At 36.3% G+C, this 19,871-nt stretch overlaps 1 long non-coding RNA gene across 1 annotated transcript in view; it reads left to right on the top strand.

Annotated features, from left to right (window-relative positions):
* The window catches only part of LINC03051 (long intergenic non-protein coding RNA 3051), a 120,212-nt gene that overhangs the window by 55,328 nt on the left and 45,013 nt on the right, over positions 1-19,871 (top strand). The window lies entirely within an intron of this gene.

Below are 19,871 nucleotides of genomic sequence, written 5' to 3'. Positions count from 1 at the left end.
CCCTGTGTCCTTTCAGATGAAGACACTATACTCAGATTAATTATATGACTTGCCTAACATTACTCCACTAATAAATGACAGAGCTTCACTATCTGTGCTTTTTTGGATGGACGGAATATTTGGCTACTCCATATTTGTTGTACAGCACCATCAGTTTTGAGCCCATGGTCCCTGCATGAAAGACTCCTCTCTGAAGGATTGTAAATAACATTGCATCATTTGATTGAATGTTGTGCATGTGTGGTTTGTGGGACTCTGAACTTTATTTTGCTAAGACACACCTTTCCTTATTGACGGTGAAGTAATAGTTTACCTGATAACGAGGCCTAGCCTTGGGACGTGGTATCTTGGATTATAAAGGCAGATGAGCTTGCTAGCAAAGTATCTGGACACATGTATAGGTACAGTACAATCAGTCCTTAATCTGAGTCCATCTTTCATAGTCTCTGATCTTGGATTCCAACATCATGATCCTCTAGACTTGATTTTTACTTCCTTGAACATTTGTTTTGAGTGACATTTGAGCTCCAGAAATAATCTGATTTCCAAAAGACATAGCATAGACCGTTACAAATGTGGGAAGTGAAACCCACATACTAGCTTATGCTATCTCTCCTGTGTCCAGGAGAAGTACATGAACCTACTAATTCTTGATGATGATACTTGTTTAATTATTGACCATCAGTAATACTAAGCCTTTCTTTAATAATCTCAGTTGATCTTCCCAATCCCCCTGCAATGAGGTCTCCATATTTGTACATGGAGCAATGAAAGCTAAGTATATAGTAAATAATATTTCTCACTTATTACAAGGGGTGGGAGACCAAGTTGGCATCAAATCTCTGGTTTCAAGAGCAGCATAGTACACATTTGTTTCATTTCACCATACCAGTCAGATGATTTTTGTAGAAAATAATGGAGTATCTTGCATGTGAACAGCAGGGACTTCTTGTGAGCTTTCTCAGCACAAAAAGATATGCACCATTATAACTATGGCCATAAGTTTATGTATGACCTGGGTAACCATGGAGGAAGTAGCACAGACAGAGGAAAGGACTTTTACCTCCACACTTAAAGACTTAGGTGACAGTGTTCCTACTTTAAAACTGAGCTCTTATTTTATTAGAGTGCCCTAAAGTGATAACTCAGTTGTCACTGGGAATAATTGCATAAATGAGGAGAAACTGTCTTCATCCTCCATTCTTGTATCCACCTATCCAGGAATTACTTTTATAATGAATATTATTTGCCAGGCATTTTTCTAAGCATCTTGGAAGAGGTAGTGAACAGAGCTTTAGTCACACAGTTATTCAATTATGGTTATAACTGCAATGAAGGCTATGATATATGAGGATGGGACACCTCAATGTGCTGTGATAAAGCCTTTCAAACATCAAAGTATATAAAGTGATGCCAAACGTGGACCCAGTGACCAGTGACTAGTTTTACTTGTTTGCCAAATCTATTTCTACCTGAAAATAGAACATTCCTTAGAACCCAGATAGGAAAATTTGAACAAAACTATGTAATTCTTTAGACTATTCTAGTGCCAAACTTTGCATCTCAAAGGCAGACAAATCTGTTTCAGTACACCTCCCTTCTTAAGCTAGAGTCAAGGATCCATAAAATTCAGAATGAAAAACCTATTCACATTTAAGCCAAGTAGCAGAGGGAGGATTCTGAGCCTGTCTGAAACTTTACTCCAGACCCATGTTTTTACCCCAAATCATCCAGAGTAGCAACACCTTCCCACATTCTCTAAAATTTTACTTTTGTTTTTGCTGGTCTGCCCCATCTTTGATGGACTCTGTTAGGGTAAACATGGGAATGAGGCTAAATTCTTGGTACTTAAATATGTTCAAGAGTAGATTTATATATCTCTTTGTGTTTGAGCATGTGGGTCTTTAAAACAGAAGGGCTGAGAATATAAGTCATGCCCAGTGGCCTGAGAGGCTGTTAAAATAGAATAATGGCCCTTCTATTTAGCTTTAAGATTGTTTCTTTACTTTCTCTAGATAATTCCCAATGAGTCAACAGTTGCTGTTTGACTTTTTAAAATTCAACTAACTATGTCTTTTCCTTTACCTTGTCAATGAGATAGATTCCCTGATGACCAATTTTTAAATTTCACCTATCAACTCTGAAGATGTTTGAAATTTTATTCTTATTACTATTTATTACCTGGCAAGTTACCTGACACCAACTTCACTTGTGAAATTTCTTGGAAAAAATAAAGTTCCACAGTTCAAATTGGCCTATTTCTTCCCAGGGAACAATTTCTTTTTAATTACTTTTACATGTAAGGTTTTCCAAGTGCTGTAATTAAAGTTTGCAAGGAGTTGCTTGGGTCAAATACAGCTTGTATTCTCTTTCTGTGAGGATGTAAGTAAAAGTGCACTAAAATCTGGACTTTTTTGCTGACTGTACATTAGTTAGTTTCTTCCTGCTGGTGCGCCTTTTTGCTGATGTTGTTCCATAGTGCATGCCTAAAGAAGAAACTAAAAAGAAAAACTTTAGTTGTTATTGCAGTCTTCTTTTGTGCAAACAGACTAAAGGTACATTCAGAAAGGGAGCCTTTGAGGTCAGGCAGTTGGACAGTGTTAAGATCACATTCATCATTTGTTCTTTGCCCAGTTGGCCAGCCCATGGTGATCAGTTCCTGCTCTCTAGACTACATAATCAGCCCAGCTGTATAAGAGTGTGGCTCAGATGCTGCATTTGTATCATAAGTTCTTTGAATTTTCAGTACCTGTTGGGAATTATTTTCAAACATTAGAGTTCTCTGGGCACTTTGGTAAGGCATTGAATTGCTGTATCTAATCCTGATTCTCAATGTGAAGTATCCTTTCATCCAGTTCAGCCACTCCTGACCTTACTTAGACATAGGGACAGCAGATGGCAAAGAGTAAAGAAGTGAGGGGAGCAAAGGCATCAACAGATCTCCAGGGAATCATAAGGAGAGGGTAGGAAGTCAGAGTATCACATATCTTCTCCCTCAATGCCGCTCTCTGACTTTCTTCTCATTCCCTCAGTCCTTCATTCCATGATTTTGCAAACTCATGTCTCGAGGGCAGGGAGTGCTAACAGAGAGGAAATACTTGCTTATAATTCAAGCTTTCTGGGTGGTGGCAGCACAGGAAAGAGTGATGGACCATTTTCCAGCTATTTCAGAAAAAACAGCACCATGCCTACTCCCTAAATTTTATCCTGTCTGAAAACATTATTTAGCATCAGATTATCTCCAACATTTATTTGAGACCAGATACCTGATTTATTGACACAACTTGAATAGCTTGAACCAACCTCCTGCCTTGTTCATGAAAGAATATGCATCTAGAGATGATGAACAGATACAAAGAAGGCTTCCTTTGCCCCAGGTTGTCCCCTGCACCTCCCTACCTGAAATCTGACTTTTGTCTTATTATTCGTTAATTTATCCAATCAACTTTAAGTAAATGTTTGCTACATGCTGCCATACTAGGTACTGGGGTTGTAGTGGTAAACAAAGAAAACCTCTCTGCCTCAGATCCTTTCTCCCCACCACTCAGAGCTCACATCTGGATGGGGAGGACAGACAATACACAAAAGAAAAATCGAGTTATATAGCATATTAGAAGTTAACTGTAATGGAGAAAAATCAGTAAGAAATGCTGAGGTAGGTGTTAGAAGGCCAGTTTTATTTTTTAAAGGTAAAGCAAGGGAAGATGACATTTGGGCAACATCTTGAGGAAGCTATGGGTACCAGCTGTGTTTGTATCTGAGGGAAAAGTGATCCAGGAAGAAGGGACAGTGATTATACAAACATTGAGGCCAGAGCATGTTTAGAGTATTTGCAGAACAGCAAGAAGACTATTTGGCTGGCTCCTAGTGAACTAGTGGGTGAATAGATGATGAAGTTAGAGCAATAGGATTGTATAGGGCCTTATAGACAATTGTCAGGTATGAATTTTTTGAGTGAGATGGAGAGCAATTGGAAGGTTTTAAGTAGAAAAGTATCATATTCAGATTTAGGCTTTAAAATGATAATTTTGGCTATTGGATGAGAATAACTTGGGTGTAAGAAAGAGTGTGGCAAAAGTCAAAGCAGTGACGTCTTCTAGTAGGTATAGTTATAAAGCTATTGCAATTAACTCAGGTGAATATGATGGTAACTTGAACCAATGTGATAACAGTGAAAGTGACGAGAAATGGTCAGAGGTTGACAGTAGAGCTGTTAGTACTTAATGATGGCTGGGATGAGGGGAATACAAGAAAGAGAAGCATTAAGTATGAATCTAAAGATTTTGTTCCAAGCAACGCAAAGAATGGAATTGCTAAGTTTGGTTAGTTCTATAGGTAGAAAAGTGGTATGAGGGTGGGAAAGTGAGAAGGGAAGGATCAGAAGATACTGCTTTGACCACCATAAACACCTTTTTGTGAAATTAGGCTCAGTGTTGCTTAGCTGTATTTCCTAACGACAATAGGGAAATGTTCAAAAAAAGATGTGAGGAGAGGTAGTAACAGAATACCATAGACCGATGGTTTAAACAACAAACATAGTTCTCACAGTTCTGGAGGCTGGGGAGTACAAGAGCAAGGTACCAGATGATTTGATGTCTTATGAGAGCCTGTCTCCTAGTTCATAACCAGCCTCTTTTTTGCAGTGTCCTTATATAGCAAAAATAGGGTCAAAGAGCTTTCTGGGGTCCTTTGTATAAGGGCACTAATCCCATTCATGAGGGCTCCATCCTCATGATCTTATTTCTCAAAGGCCCTACCTCTTAATACCATCACTGTGGGGGTTAGGATTTTAACATAGGAATTTCAGAGAGGCACAGATATTTGCTCCATTTAAGTGAGGATAATTTAGGGGCATAGCCTCTAGAACCCCCAAAACATACTTGTCCTTGTCATCTTAGCAGAAGATCTGGCACAGTGGATAACACGTGGTTCCTGGATCCATGAGATGCTGGGGCTATTGCTAATCTTGGGTAACACACTCAGCCTCTCTGGGTTCTGCTTTTTTTTTTAACTGCACAATTAAGGTTCTTAATGTCTATGATACATTCTTCTGACATTTTTATGGCCACCAGTTAGAATGACCCTGTAAAAGAGAGGGCAATAGAAGCTTAAAAAAAGCCTATTTCACAATTTTGTCCTTATTTATGTACTACTAGTATACAACTTTACTAGTGAAGAAGAATTTGGACCATTGTCTGGTTAATGAAATCAAGGCAGACAACCAAACAGGATATTTCAATTTTTATAACCTACTTTGGTATCTATATTATCCCGTTTGGTAATCTGCCTTGATCAGATTAAAACAATGATTATTAGATCTCCTTTTTGTGTGTGTGTGTGTTGAGTACACACAAATAGGTTGTTTATCAAAGAATATCTGACTTGAAAATATGCTACTTTGTATAAAGAAATAGAGCCTCTTTACATTTTTAAAAATATATTTTATGATGTGATATGACTGTCCTTTGATGTAGCCTTAGTTGTGATGGGATATTTTTGGGCTGTAACTCAGAAAGTCCATCCCAAATATTATTGTGACACTACCATACCATTGTACTAAGAATGTCAGCTCACCTGTTAGAATATGGGATATGTTAATCATAGGACAGGTTAATCATAGGACAGATGAAACACAGATTTCCTTCCATAGTCTGCTCTTAGCCTGTGAGTGTGCTACATGTCTGTGGTTGCTGTTGTTGTTGTTGCTGTTGTTTTTCCTTTGGAAAGTCCCACTGTATTGTATCTTTTGGGTTGGGAACTTTCCTTTGAAGCTACTGGTTGAGCTCTATGGGCTTGTGGGGCAGATATGAAATCTTTATGAATTCTGCAGTGCTATTAAACTCCACATTTCTCCATTGCTCTGATGCTGACATTCCAAGCACACAAGCAGTTACGCAAGAATCGATTTTTGCCATAGATGAGGTGGGGGTCTGAGCAAGCACCTTGGTCAACAACCAGCTCTGGAGGGGATGTGAAACCCATTATTGATCCAGGGCTGAGAAATCAGTGACTGTTGTATTATATAATTATTGATGGAGCCGGAAAATGCCACGGGCAAAGCACAACTTACTATTTGTTATGCTGGATTGTCTCTCTCGTCTATGTCAGGCCGCTGTGTTCTGCTCTCATGTTCCCATACCATGTTTATTTATACTATGTGCAGTTAGCTTTCATATTTCTGTTGTGATTCCAGCTTGGAAAATGAATGCTAGTTCTGTTCAGGAGCTGTAAAAGAAATAAATTTTTCCAGACACTCTAATGGGCCCACACTGAATACCAAAGTCTGGACACAGGAAAAATGGAGGCTCCAAGAAAGACAATCGGAAGTGTGAAGAGAGGAAGAGTGTTCTTTGTGTGTAGCTCTCATCCACTGTCCTTTTTCTCACCACATGACCCAAGCATGAAATGTGCAGGTGGTTGGCATGGCCGATTGTTGGAGAATGTTGACTGAGTATCTACTGTCTGTAAGGTCATGTAGTAGGCCCTTAAGGAGGGATAAGAAGGATTTGAAAATGAAAAGATAACATGGTTGTAGCCTCGATGCTGGATGAATTGCTCCTGTGTAGTACTTTATAATGCTTTATTTAGTTCACCCACTGCTAGCTCCCCATCTTTCTTCCTTCACTTTCTCTCTTGGGTGCTGTTCTTTTCCTTTTGTACTTACCAGAAAACTTATAGCTCCTAGATAAAACACTAGCTTCCTTTATGATGAATGTGTGTTTTTGATTCTACAACCATATATCAAGCTCAAGAACACAGAACAAATGTCTGCTACAGACAAGAGGGCTTATGAAGAAGTCTTGACCACTATCCAGCTATTTCAATTGACATATCTCTGGACTACAGGGATATGGGGAAGATATGGGCAATGAAAGGCCACCAACACTTATGGATGTTACAGTTAACATTCATCAACTGACTTCTGTTAACAGATGGTTAGGGAAAATTATTAATTTACATTTAAGGTCTCAATAAATGGTTTTTTTAACTGATAGCTGCCAATTAAATTAGGAAGAAAATATATCAAAGCTTCTTTCAAAGAGTTAGAAAAGTAATAACTTTGGGTTGAAAGTTGATTATTGAATAATCAAACAGTCTTACAAAGCCCTATGCTAAAGGAACGGGGTCTAAATTAGATGTAGGGGAAATATTTTCTATTCTTTTGGATAATGGTTCTGCTGTTATACTAAACATGCATTTTTTTTGTGGGCATAAAAGCCTTTACCCTTATGAAATGCATAGAGAAAGATTTAAATTATTTATTCTATAATAGCTTATTTGAAATTTTTTGGACATGGAACTTAGTAAATGTGGTTTTCTCAATATCAAAATCAATGTTTTAATGCTCAGCTGTTAAAGTGAGTGCTTTGGGATAAAAACAAGCTACAGCTGCTGCCATGTTGCTTATGTATGGATGATACAACACTATTCTATGATTCCTGAAAAAACCTCTTTCATTAAAATGGGAACTCTGTGTCTATGAATACTTTTGGGTTTTTATGAGAACCCTTTCAGCTCAGAAACTGTAGAGATATCTTCAACTTTTATTATGTGCATTTAACTAGTTGCATGAATGATGTCTTCTAGACAGCATGCATTGTTCTTATCTTTAGTTCCTTGATTTGCTTTTTTTATGAATTATTAACTATATTGGGAATGTTGCTTTTGAAAATTTTAATAATAATTTCCTTCCTAGAGAGAAATGTAGTGTTTTTCTCCTATTCTCATATCATGAAGTAGTATACAATGAAATGGTAACAAATAACTGAAGCCTATGTCTAAGTAAGGTAAAATTTTTTTTTCTTTTGTAGATTGTCTGTAAGAAGCTAGGTAAAGACAAAGGAAGAGACAAATCAAATTGAATAATAGCAAATTCAAGAGTTTTGGTAAGGAAAGTTTATCAATATAGCAGACACAAATGTTTGCAACTGAAGATACAGGCAAAATTGTCCATCATATATTCCTACCTTTAAAACTCAAACTCATTTCCAAAGTCATAAGTTATTCCTTTACTAATATCTAGAAAGATAATATCTATCAAATATTCCTTTTCTCATATCTCCCCTCTAGTTAGAATATCACTTAACAAAATATTAAAAGTGAGAGAGCTGAATTTAATCAAATAAGTTGTTAGACGTTATTTTTTATCTTACTTTCCTGAGCATTCCATAAACTCATTTGTATGTGTGTGTGTTATATGTGTGTGTATTTAATTTGGTTATCATACAAGATATATCTATGCCTAAAGATAAATTTACTGGAAATGTTTAAAACACCCACAGTTGACTCATTATTAAAACTAACCTAACACTATTACAAGAAAGGCGTTTTTTTTAATCTATTTGTAAACTTTGGCAAATGCAAAAGGGAGAAATAATCAACATCTTGCAAAAGCAATTGGTCAAAGTTATTAATGAGGCAATTCTTTCTGCTAAGGCATCATAGAAAAAGTAATGAGAGAAAATGTGACAATAAATAGCAAGCTACTTTAGATTGTATGACATTTTTATTAATAAAAAAGTCAACTTCAGTGGAAAAGATTGACTTCCTGTGTATTGCTAATAAAAATTTCATATTTTATGCATTATATACCACCATGCTCTATTATCTTGACCCAGGGACAGAGTCAGTTTTCTGTGGCTTCTGTAATTTGAGGACCTGCTCCTAAGAAAAATAATACAAAAAATTACTTTTGAAAAATTTACAAATCTGAACATATTGGTAGGGCATTTCCCAAGAAGAGAGAGTTCTGCCAGTGCCTTCATTGAAACATAACCTTCATTAGCTTCATGATAAATCTGATTATGTATTTATTCTCTTACTTAAATAATTAGAAATCAAGCATTAATATCTCATATTAATATTATTCAGCCATCACTTAATCAGTTAATCAATTGAATTATGTACTCATTGTATTAGAATTACTTTATCTCCTGTAGCAAATAGACACTCACATTTCGGGGTCTTAACACAGGAAAAATTCACTAGGAACACACTTTGTAATGTAGTACCTGGATGGCCCTGCTACTCCTTATTCATGTCTTCATACCATGAAGAGTAAACAGAAATCTAATGAGCACTGACAATCTCTGCCATATTCATAATGTTTGTTGTCTTTCAAACCTACCATATATCAGACATTGCACTAGATGCTGGGGAAAAAAAGAATATATCTGACAATGACTCTGTACTCATAAAGAGCTAACAGTCCAATAAGTGAGAGATGAACACAAATGGCTCTAACGGCAGGGTGGAAGTTGATAAGTAGCATAAGAGAATTACTACATTGAAACACAGAATCCCTTCATCCTCTTCCTTCACAATTCTTCTCTGATTTCCAACATCTTCTTTGCATGCTTCCTGTGGGAGTTTAGCAGCATTTATGTTGAGCTGCAGCAAATTACACCAAGTTATAAAGGAACTTCCTGGAATGAAGTTTTGAAATATGCTTTTTAGAGGAAACATCCACATTTTCTAAGCAAAAATTTTTCATATCCCTTTTCAGTTTAACCAGAGAAAACAGACCCTTTGACAAATAACAGAGCATTTATGTAAAATCAAGTTCTGCTAAAGGTCCAAACTCAGCAGTTCTTTCTTTGTTTCTCAATTCTTGCTTTAGTCAGATGCATTCAGCAGCCTGGACCTACAGTCCCAGAGGAGTCTGGTTTTGGAGTAAGTGATTGCCATGACCAAATGCAGAGAAGCTTTTTGGCCATGGCATTGTTACTCATAGTTCTTGGGTCACTAAAGTCACATATTTAATTTCTTGCTCTCTTTGCCTTCACCTTCTGCAGATCACCTAGCTCCTGACTGATCATGGCAGACCTCAAGCAGACACTGAAGAGAGGCATGCTGGGCACATGAACAGCATAGCCAGGAAGAGACGGTAAAGGCAGTGAGATGATTGCTTGCTGAGTCTCACATCATCCAAGGTGTTCAATGGCGTGCCAAACTTAAATCTTAGAGAGAATAGACATAGTTTCTGTAGCTACTGCCATCTGAGCATTAAATTTGACCAACATAGGAGCCTCCAGAACCAGCTTATTCATGGAAATGGCATCATTGTGCTTTTGGGCATTCTCTTAGTTATGGCCAGACTCTGACAATGCACTGAGAGATGTTAACATATTCCCTATGGCTTGTTTTGAGCATGAGGAGGTGCAATTCCAAATAGTAGGAACGAAGTAGATTTTATAGACCTGAGATGAGTGGAATAGGATGCAGGGACAAGTCTCCAAAGCAAGTAATGAGTTAAATCAAATGTCCTCATCCCTTGGCCAAAACTTGTAGCAGACAAGAAGTGCTGGATCAGTAACTAAAGGCCAGCCCTGGAACATATTTTTAATCTAATAAGGATAAATAATTTCTGAATCATGAGGCTGAGGTGTTCCATACCTCTATGCCATAGCTAGTATTATAGCTTAGGAACTAGAGTATATCTTAGTGTACAGAGGAAGCCATTAGTGGGAGGCAATATGGATATGATGAAAGAGCATAGGCTTTGGGGTCAGAAAGGCCTGGATTCAAATGCCTATTCCAGCCTTTGATAACTGTATGACAATTGTCGAATCTCTTAACATCCAGGCTTTTCTTTGCTTTTCTATAATATGGAATTAATAATTTCTACCTCAAAATATTAAATGAACTAATATGTTTGCATCTGCTGACTAGTGATGATTCAAAAGAGAATAACATTTTTTTTCATTCAACTGCATATGCTTCTAAGAGATTTAAATAGTCTTTGAAGGGAGACAATTTTGGCATTATTTAATTGATTCAAACTGAGGTCCAGGGGGTTTCAGTGTAACTTACTAATGCCATACAATAAGGAAGTGGCAAAGCAGCAATTCTAAATCGAGAATGATTGACCTCACATCTCAATTTTATTAAACTATATTTAAAAATAAATATAGTTTCTGAAAGCATCAAAAATGAGACATATTTTAAGGTTGCATGCAGCTCTTACACAATTTCTTAAAAAAACTATAAGTAACAATGTTTAGTAGAGATTTGGCTCTGGGATATCTTTGTCAGCTTTTTGAGTTTTCCAGGTAAAAGGTTTTCTAGGGTTGAGGGTCTTTGGTGGCAGGGTACAGATCAGAAAGATTGTTGAGAAGGTGAGTTCTGATATGGCTCTGTGCATGATTAGCCTGGTAAGTCTTTGGATGCAAATAAAGTGTGGTTTTCAGATAAGCCTGCACTGAAGCCCTCTCTTTCTGTGACTATGAGAGGCCTTCCCCTTAATAGTGAGATTCTGTGAGACATTAGATTGAGTAATAAGGAGCATATTTGAGTTTCCTTCCCTTGTGTCACTTGAATTTTAAAGCACATTCACAATTTCAGTCTGAGCCAATTCTATAACTACTAATTTGGATATAGATTTTCAGCTTCAACATAAATTGTGCTCCTCAAGAAGATTAGTTATGTGAGTTACACTACTCCAGTCTTAGACAGGCTTTCTTTTTTTTCTCACACTTTTGTGGAGGTTTAACCACTTTTCTTTTTCTCTTCCTTACCTATTGTCAGTGTCTTAACTCACTTTCCTTTCGGAGATGCAAGAAGGCTTCTCAATGACTCTGAATCTTGGGAACTGACCAGTTTTTAGTCACCTTCACCAATCCTACCAACAGCCAGCAAAACATCCAGTCAACATTCTTATTAATTACCAACACTTATGTGTTGAGGTCACAGTGAAGGACCAGTATATCCATAACTGCCAGCATGCCTGTTAGAGGACTATGACATATAATCAGACAAGACACATAACTCAGCATGGCCTTGGGCATAAGAAACATGAAAATTTGCCCTACAGAATTGGTATAATCCATTAAATATGGACTTTGGGTTAGCAGTGTTACCATGGCACTCTCTTTTGTTAGCAATACTATCAGTGGCTCAGAGCAGGGGTCAGCAATCCTTTTCTGTAAAGGGACAGATAGAAAATATTTTAGGCTTTGTGGAACATGTAATCTCTGTTACAATTAAACAATTCTGCTGTTGTAGCATGAAGGCGGCCAAAGACAATATGTAAATGAATGAGTGTGGCTGTGTTCCAATCAAAGTTCATTTACAAAAACAGGTGGTGATCTATATTTGCCCCACAAGCCTTAATTTGCTGATCCCTGGCTTAACGTCATAGAGAGGTAAAACCAAAAACTCATCCAATTCAACCTTCTCGTTTAAGAGATAAGAGAACCAAAGTCTGGAGAAAAGATGAATTGTCTAATGTAACCAAGCTTGTTCATGCCAAATGGAGAATTAAAACCCAGCTTTATAATTCACAGACCAACAAGGTCTCCACCATAGCAAATCATATTGTACTTTTTGATTCATCTTTCCCCAGGACTGTCTTTGCAGCTTCCAGTCATAATGTGCAGTCAATTATATTGCTGATATTGGCAAAGAAATTTCTAAACCTGTATTATTTTTAAGGTTAGAGAGAAAAAGAGTTTTAAAGCATATATTTATTTTTGAGATACATTTTTCATGTTGAAACTTTGAGCAGAAAAACCTCTCTTAATTACAGTGGCAGAACTTTTACTTTAAAACATAAAATATGAAGTCTTTCAGGAAAGTTTTTGGAGGTATTGCTTGAAAACCCCTTCTCTCTAAGTTTCCTATCCATCATCAAACATCCTAAGTATGATGTTAGGTTTGTTTTATTTAAATATTTTATCTAATTTTCAGTCAGTGAAGGGGACTAAGTATGATGTTATCTTAAGTTCATAATTAAGACCTACATCATTTTTAGAATGAAATAAAGAATGACCCAGATTTGCCAAGGGTTTTGGTGTGAGGACTTGAAAACCTTTTCATCTGACAACATGGGCCTAATTATGGTTGATTCATTTGGACAAATAATAGCCTTGAAGAAACAAAGGACCAGACAGAGGCAATGTGACTGCTATCTTCAGAGAAATTCTATAACATGTACACATTTCGTTCATATAGCATTTTCACTTGACTTACTAATGAACAAGAGAGATTTGAGATAACTTTCAAGTCTATTTCATTGATGGAAGATGCATCCATTTCTATGTTAAATTTGTAGTTTGTAGTCACCTTAGTGGTATGGATGTTACTATTAATCACAAAATCATAATGAAGTGTTTCTCAGGCTGTGGGAGCACCACACAATGTAGAGTGCATTTTTGGTCATTGTCCAGTTTATTTGGTCAATGCAGTCAATCTAGGTAATTGAGGACCTAAATTGGATTATCTGGCCATAATTATTCCTGTTTGTCTGTACACATCCATCACATTTATCAGATAATTGCCATATAGCTTCATTTTGTGCTCTTCTGACTCATCTTGGGTAAAATGGAAAAAAGATGGCTCAAGAATGAGCCTTGGGTTCAGTTTTGACTTTGTCACTAAGTTTTCTTGTGACCTTTGGACAAATTGCTGAACATCTCTGGATCTTTGTCTCTTTCTGGATTTGGACGTGTAAGGGCTTTGCCATGTCTGAGATTGTGTTCAACTTTCATGATACAAAACTGAATCAGTTCTACATGCTGTAACTTTTAAAAAATATATTTTTATAATTTTTAATTACTTTGTATACTTAAAAATGGATAGGGTGGTTAATTTTATGTTATATGCTTTTTTACTATTACTTTTTTAAAATTGATGTAGGGAATCACAGAGCCCATCTTTCAATTCCAGAATAGATTATCTGATTTTGTGGCCTCGATGACTAAAATAAATAAATGGCCATTGTTTTAGTCATTAAGGTAACTGAATAAGGTTGACTATTGGATATTGAATCTGTTGCTTTTGATTTGCCTGCTTTGACTGAGGGTTGAGCAGACTCAGCCCTAATGGTTCTTTGCCATGATGTTCAAGATGGGCAGAAGAAGGTGGGACTGATTCCTTTGATATCTGTCAGTTTCCAACTTACACCCTGACAGAAAGCCAACCATGAGGCTTTCTCTCCAGGCCAAAAGTTGCAAGCTAACATCTTATATGGCCTGCCTTGGTAGGAGGAGAAAGAGGTAATTGGGGCAAAATAAGCTACTTCAAGATAACACCAGTATTCTAAAAGTGAAGGGTGTAAAGTTGCCAAGCACTTCACACAAAGTAGTATAGTGAGTCATAAAGTTTAGTGCATGAATAAAAGTATATATTCATTAACTTGCCAGTGTCTTGGAAATGACCTCAACTTAAAATCTTGAGAACAGAGCTAGCGGTGGGATTTAAAGGAAGTGACATGATTTTCTCCCTGCTTAATAAATCCTAGTTCTTCCCATTTTTTTATTTCCCTTGGCTTCTTACCTCACCAGTTCTGACTACCTTGTTATTGCTTGTCATTCTCTACTTTCTTCCCTCCCAAATCTGACTAGCTTATCCCTGATTACCTCATCTCTGCTCTTTGCTGGCTGTCAGACTCTGAATGAGCCTGTTTCATTTTGCACTTTCCACCTTCTGCCATTTTCTGCTCCAGCACTGTGAAATTCAGAATGCAGTTATCTATGACTTGAAAATCATTCTTGGTGGGGATGGTATTTTTTATGCCCTCTCCAAGAGTGGTCATTCATTTGGCTAAGGGCAATTAGAAGAGAAAGATGGGAGGGAAAGTGAAAGTGTCAGGAGGTCTCTACACTAGTTTTCAGCTGCTCAGAAGAATTAAAACCCCCAAGAGAAGTGAGAATATTATTCTGCCTTACAGTTCTCCACCTCAGCTTCACTGGAGACTTATAAAAACAATGACTTCCTATTTCATTCTCAGGTCACACCAGAACTTCCATATTTCTGGATAGTTAATCTTATGTTGCAAAATCTTGACATTATCTTTTATTCTTTCTTTGATATAAAACCTGATAGTTATATAAAAACTAAGATACGCTGCTCGTTTCTTAGCTAGATAGAAACATTAAAGCATCTACCCTATATCCTTATTTTTTAAAATATTTTGTTACCATTGCAATTACAATTAAAACACTAACTCCAACAATAACCTAAGTATCAATAAAATTTCTAAATATTCTAGTAGAGAAAATAACTACAACATTTTAATCAACAGGTATGGTCAAGGACTGGAATATAATGTTACCTCAATTTTCCAGTGAACTACAAGTTAAATTAATTTCTATAGGAAATAGCCTGGAATAAATATGACTCTGAATAGAATTTAGAGACATAAGTTCCTCTGCAACACTCCCCCTCAAAATGCAGGTTGCTGGGCACCATCCCTAGTGTTTTGGATTAACTATGAAGTAGGATTAAAAAATTAGCATTTCTGACAATTTCCAGATGCTGCTGATGCTGCTGGTGTGTAGACCACACTGAGAGAATCACTGTTCTATAGCTATATATACTGTAATGTTTTCTGGTAGGTGTTATTTTATGATAACAGTATGTTTATAAAGTCATTCACAAATCTTTAAAAAAGTAATTTTTTATAAGATTATGTTTTTTCCTAATAATATTCTCAGTTAAGCTACTTACACTTTCAAACAAATAATATTTCATTTAATTTAGCTAGTAAATGGCCTGGTTTGTCATTGGGAAGGCTTAACTCCTTTTCTTAATATTCAGCCAAGTGTCTTTCAAATTTTTTCCAGTTTTATCGAGATATAATTAACAAATAAAAATTATATATATTTACAGTGTACAATGTAATGTTTGACCTACATATACATTGAGAAATTATTACCACAATAAAGCTCACTAGCCTATCCATCACTTCATGTAGCTACTTTTTTTTCATGGTGAGAACATTTAAGATTTATTCTCTTAGCAAATTGCAAGTGTGCAGGATAGTATTATCAACTGTAGCCACTGTGCTGTTTATTGGAACTCCAGAACTTATTCATCTTATAACTGAAAGTTTGTATGCTTTGACTAACATCTCCCATTTCCATTCCTTCTTCCCCCCAGTCACAATCCTGGAAACCACCATTCTGCTCTCTGCTTTTATAAGTTCTACTTTTTTAGATTCCACATAAAAGAGAGATAATACCATATATGTGTCTCTGTGCCTGGCTTATTTCACTTAGCATAATATATCCTCCAGGTTCATTCATATTGTCAAGAATGACAGGATTTCCTTTTTAAGGATTAATAATATTCCATGGTGTGTGTGTGTGTGTGTGTGTGTGTGTGTGTGTGTGTGTGTGTGTGTGTGTTACTTTTTTTTTGTCCATTCATCTGTCCATAGACACTTAGGTTGATTCTGTGTCTTGGCTATTGTGAATAAAGGCCTCTTATTTCCTACATTTCACCAATAATAATAAGTTTACAGATTGACTCTGGTGATGGACAAAGTTTCCAAAAGGCAAGTTATGCACAGATCAACACACGTATCATTTCACTGTCTTCTGCAGCCCAGATTGCTCTATTTTCTGCCTCTTGAACTTGATTTGTGCCCATTTTCATCACTCCTGTTGCCTGGGTACCAGTTAACCAGGAATTTCATGTGTTTGGATAGTGCCTTCATTCTCAATTTTAGTGGCTATGGAACAGAAATAACTTTTGCAGACTGGATTAGATCAGAAATACAGGACCTAAAATTGCTTAGAGAAATATGGCACTGACCTGAACCATATTTCCCAGAAACAGCAGAAAGCATAAGTGATTTAAAAAAATATACTACACTGTCATATATTTCCTGGACAACCTTTTACAAGTCATTTACATTAACAGACAGTATTTATTGTCATGTTGTTCTGGGAACATATCAGTTTTCATAAAGTTAGCTCTGGTGCAATACAGTAAGAGCAGATGCTTAGGCAACCTTGGGGCACTCAGGATCCTCTGAAACAAGTGAAGTTTTGAAAAGGCTGCTTGTACCTTAGGGAAGCCTGGGGTAAAGGCCCAGACTTCTGGGGTGACCCAGAGGTGCCTCGTATACTCACAACATCTGTGCATGTCATTACATGGCCACTTGTCACCCTGGAAAACTTCTGAAAAGTCCACATTGTCTGGCTTACTTTGTGGAAAAAAAATAGCCTGGCTACTAAGGCTAAGACTTCCCATTTTCATTTGTAAATGATTTCTCTTTATTTGATGTTGTTCCATTTTTAACAAATCTATTAGGACTAGGATAATGAACCATGAGGGTTATTGACAATAACTTTGCCCATAGGAAAAGCGGATAGTATGTTAGAAACAGGCTTATTTAAAAACAGAAATAAATTGATCAGGTTAATCAAATGTGAAATTCAGAAGGTTATGCTAGTGAGACTCCTATTTATTCATAGACTAGAATAGAAAGACAGGAGCTTTCTTGTCTTTTCAATTCCTGAACCATTATCCTTTAACTTGGAAGACATTAGTCCAAAAGAAAAACAACTTTGCATGCCTATTGAAGACAGTATTGCCATATAAAACTGTATCATCACTTCACTAGTCTCTTATGAATCTATTTGCTTAAGTGACTCCCATCAGTTCGCTGATGTAATTTCTTTAAAACCTCATCAGCAAACATATGTTTCTTGAATGGTTCATATCTCAGCCTTAAAATGAATTGTAGTTTGTAGCTTTGGAGGAGAAATTGCTTTGCATTTATATCAAAATCAATTCCTTGCTTGAAGTAAAGGATTGACCTTATTATTGCAAACAATGGCAAGAGAACAAGCTGACAATACATGCCATTACCATTCCCCCACATATCTCAACCAGTCAGTGGTAGAGTCCAAATTCCAAGCAAGATCTTCTGTCTTCAAAACTGAGGTGTTTTACAGCCTCTTATATAGATGCTTTATCCCTGTCTGCAGAGGGCTTACACAACCAAATGGGACAGAGGGAAAACAATTATATACACACAAGTCAAAAATGAAAAGAATAATGCTATAATGTACACGTATATGAACCAACAACTATATGCAGGGGAGTGCTCTGGGGATTTACAACACCTTATGGGGCTTAATTTATTTCTGGCTTTGATGCAAGTTTATGTTTCTTCCCTTTGAAAGTTTATTGTGTACATTTTGCATATTTTCTAAAAATCCAACACATTTTAAATTATTTCTTTGGTCTATTTTTCAGATCTTTGTCCTTCCTGCAGTCCCTGAAGACTTTACCAAGTACTTCAGTTTACAGATAAACAAACACTATTTTCATACCCCTAAACCCACAACAGATAACTGAAGTATTTAGTAAGTTATAAGTATGTACAAAAATATTATATACCTAAACCACTTTGCCCAAAATTGATGATGGGAATTAATATTTATTATTTACACATGAGAAAGATATACATATTTATTTCTCTTTAATCCTATCACTGTTTCATAAATATTGTACTTAATCCATCAATAATACAAGATGCTTTTTTTAATCCCAAGAAATAATTAGAAAACATTTATGATAATGATAATATTACTTTGTACAAATATTATACAAACCCATTAAACCCATAGGGAAAATCACAGCTGGTAAGAATGTCAGATACCCTGTCTGCTCAGAAATAGATAGTAGGCTGCTTATTTGATATTTAATGGAAAATTAAGCCAACTAAACAATATTTAAAAGCAGACATTTCTCACCTTGTCTTTAAGCCTTAGCTAAGACAGATTGTCCTTAACATTGAATCTTACCTTCTAAGTTGTCAATTTTATACTGATTTCTGTAATATATTCTAGTTTCATATCCTTTTAAAAATTGTGTTCTAGGACACTTAGATGTTAACAATGGTTTTCAGTGATGGGTCAAGGTTTTTCATTGAGCCATTCCTGCTTGCTTTTCTTGTTGGCCCATGGGTTGCTGCTATACTATACTTCTTTTTCTGATATGTCTTAGAAAAGTAGTGACCCTGCTTCATGTCACACTATTATTTGAATGTGTTTCCAGGTGGCCATTTAGTGACTGTGCAACTACCTTCATGGATTAACATAATACTGGCCATTTAAAGGTATTCACACCAATACACTTAAAGATTTATACTCACTACAGTAGTTTGTATAATGTGGCATTTCCGGCATAGTTTTGGGTAGTAAGTCTTAAGTTTGGAACTACCAACACTAACTCAGATTTTATATTGTGAACATTTATAGAAGAGTAGATATGTAATATTTATTTCAAAGTTCAATTTAATTGTCTCATCCTGGAGGCTTCATGAACTCATGCTGTCCCATTGACATCAACAATTTGGTAAAGTTATGTACTTTCTGGAGTCTCAGTTTTAACATCTATATAAATGGAAAAATAATACTACACTATAGAGAAAATGTAAAATTAAAATAGATAACTCATATGGAAGCATTTAACATCCTAATAAGAATATACCAGTCCCGCTATAAATGTAAGATTTTTTTCCTTCTGTCTTTTCTTTCCATCTATCTTTCCTTCCTTTCTTCCAACAGAAATCTATCTCTTCTTTTTGCTTATAGCTCTTTTAAAGCACATGACTCTGCTTATGTTGTGGTATTTCACGTACATATCTCTCTAAACCTTGAGAGCAAGGGACTAAGCTTGTTGACTTGCACTGCACAATGGCTAGCACAGTGCTTTTTGGAAAAAATTTACATGCTAGATATTTGTTTTCATTAAATTGAATTTTTGAATTGAGCCAAATTAGTGAGTATTTCATAGTTATTTGTTGTAAAATTCACTTGCTAGGAATGGTATTTTCTCCTCTCTCACAGTACCAAGTAAATTATTGTAATCTCACTGTGTGCAAATGTATGTGTGTGTGTGTGAGAGAGAGAGAGAGAGAGAAGGAGGAGGAGAGAGAGGGGTAAAGAAGCATCAGCAAGGCCTGTCACTCACTGGGTGAGGAGTGTGATTGGGGAATTCTTTCTACTGTAGGAAGAACATTTTCTCTGCTGAGATAATTGGAAAAAGAAATACCAATGTGAGGAAGATGAAATCAAAAGCTAGCAACTGAGATGAGCCAAAATACAGAGATAGAGTAGGTGCAGGTAGAAGCA

Source organism: Homo sapiens, chromosome 3, assembly GCF_000001405.40.
Source record: "Homo sapiens chromosome 3, GRCh38.p14 Primary Assembly".
Classification (NCBI taxonomy): Eukaryota; Metazoa; Chordata; class Mammalia; order Primates; family Hominidae; genus Homo; species Homo sapiens.
Note: the sequence above shows the minus strand (reverse complement) of the source record. Positions and strands in the feature narration are given on the sequence as shown.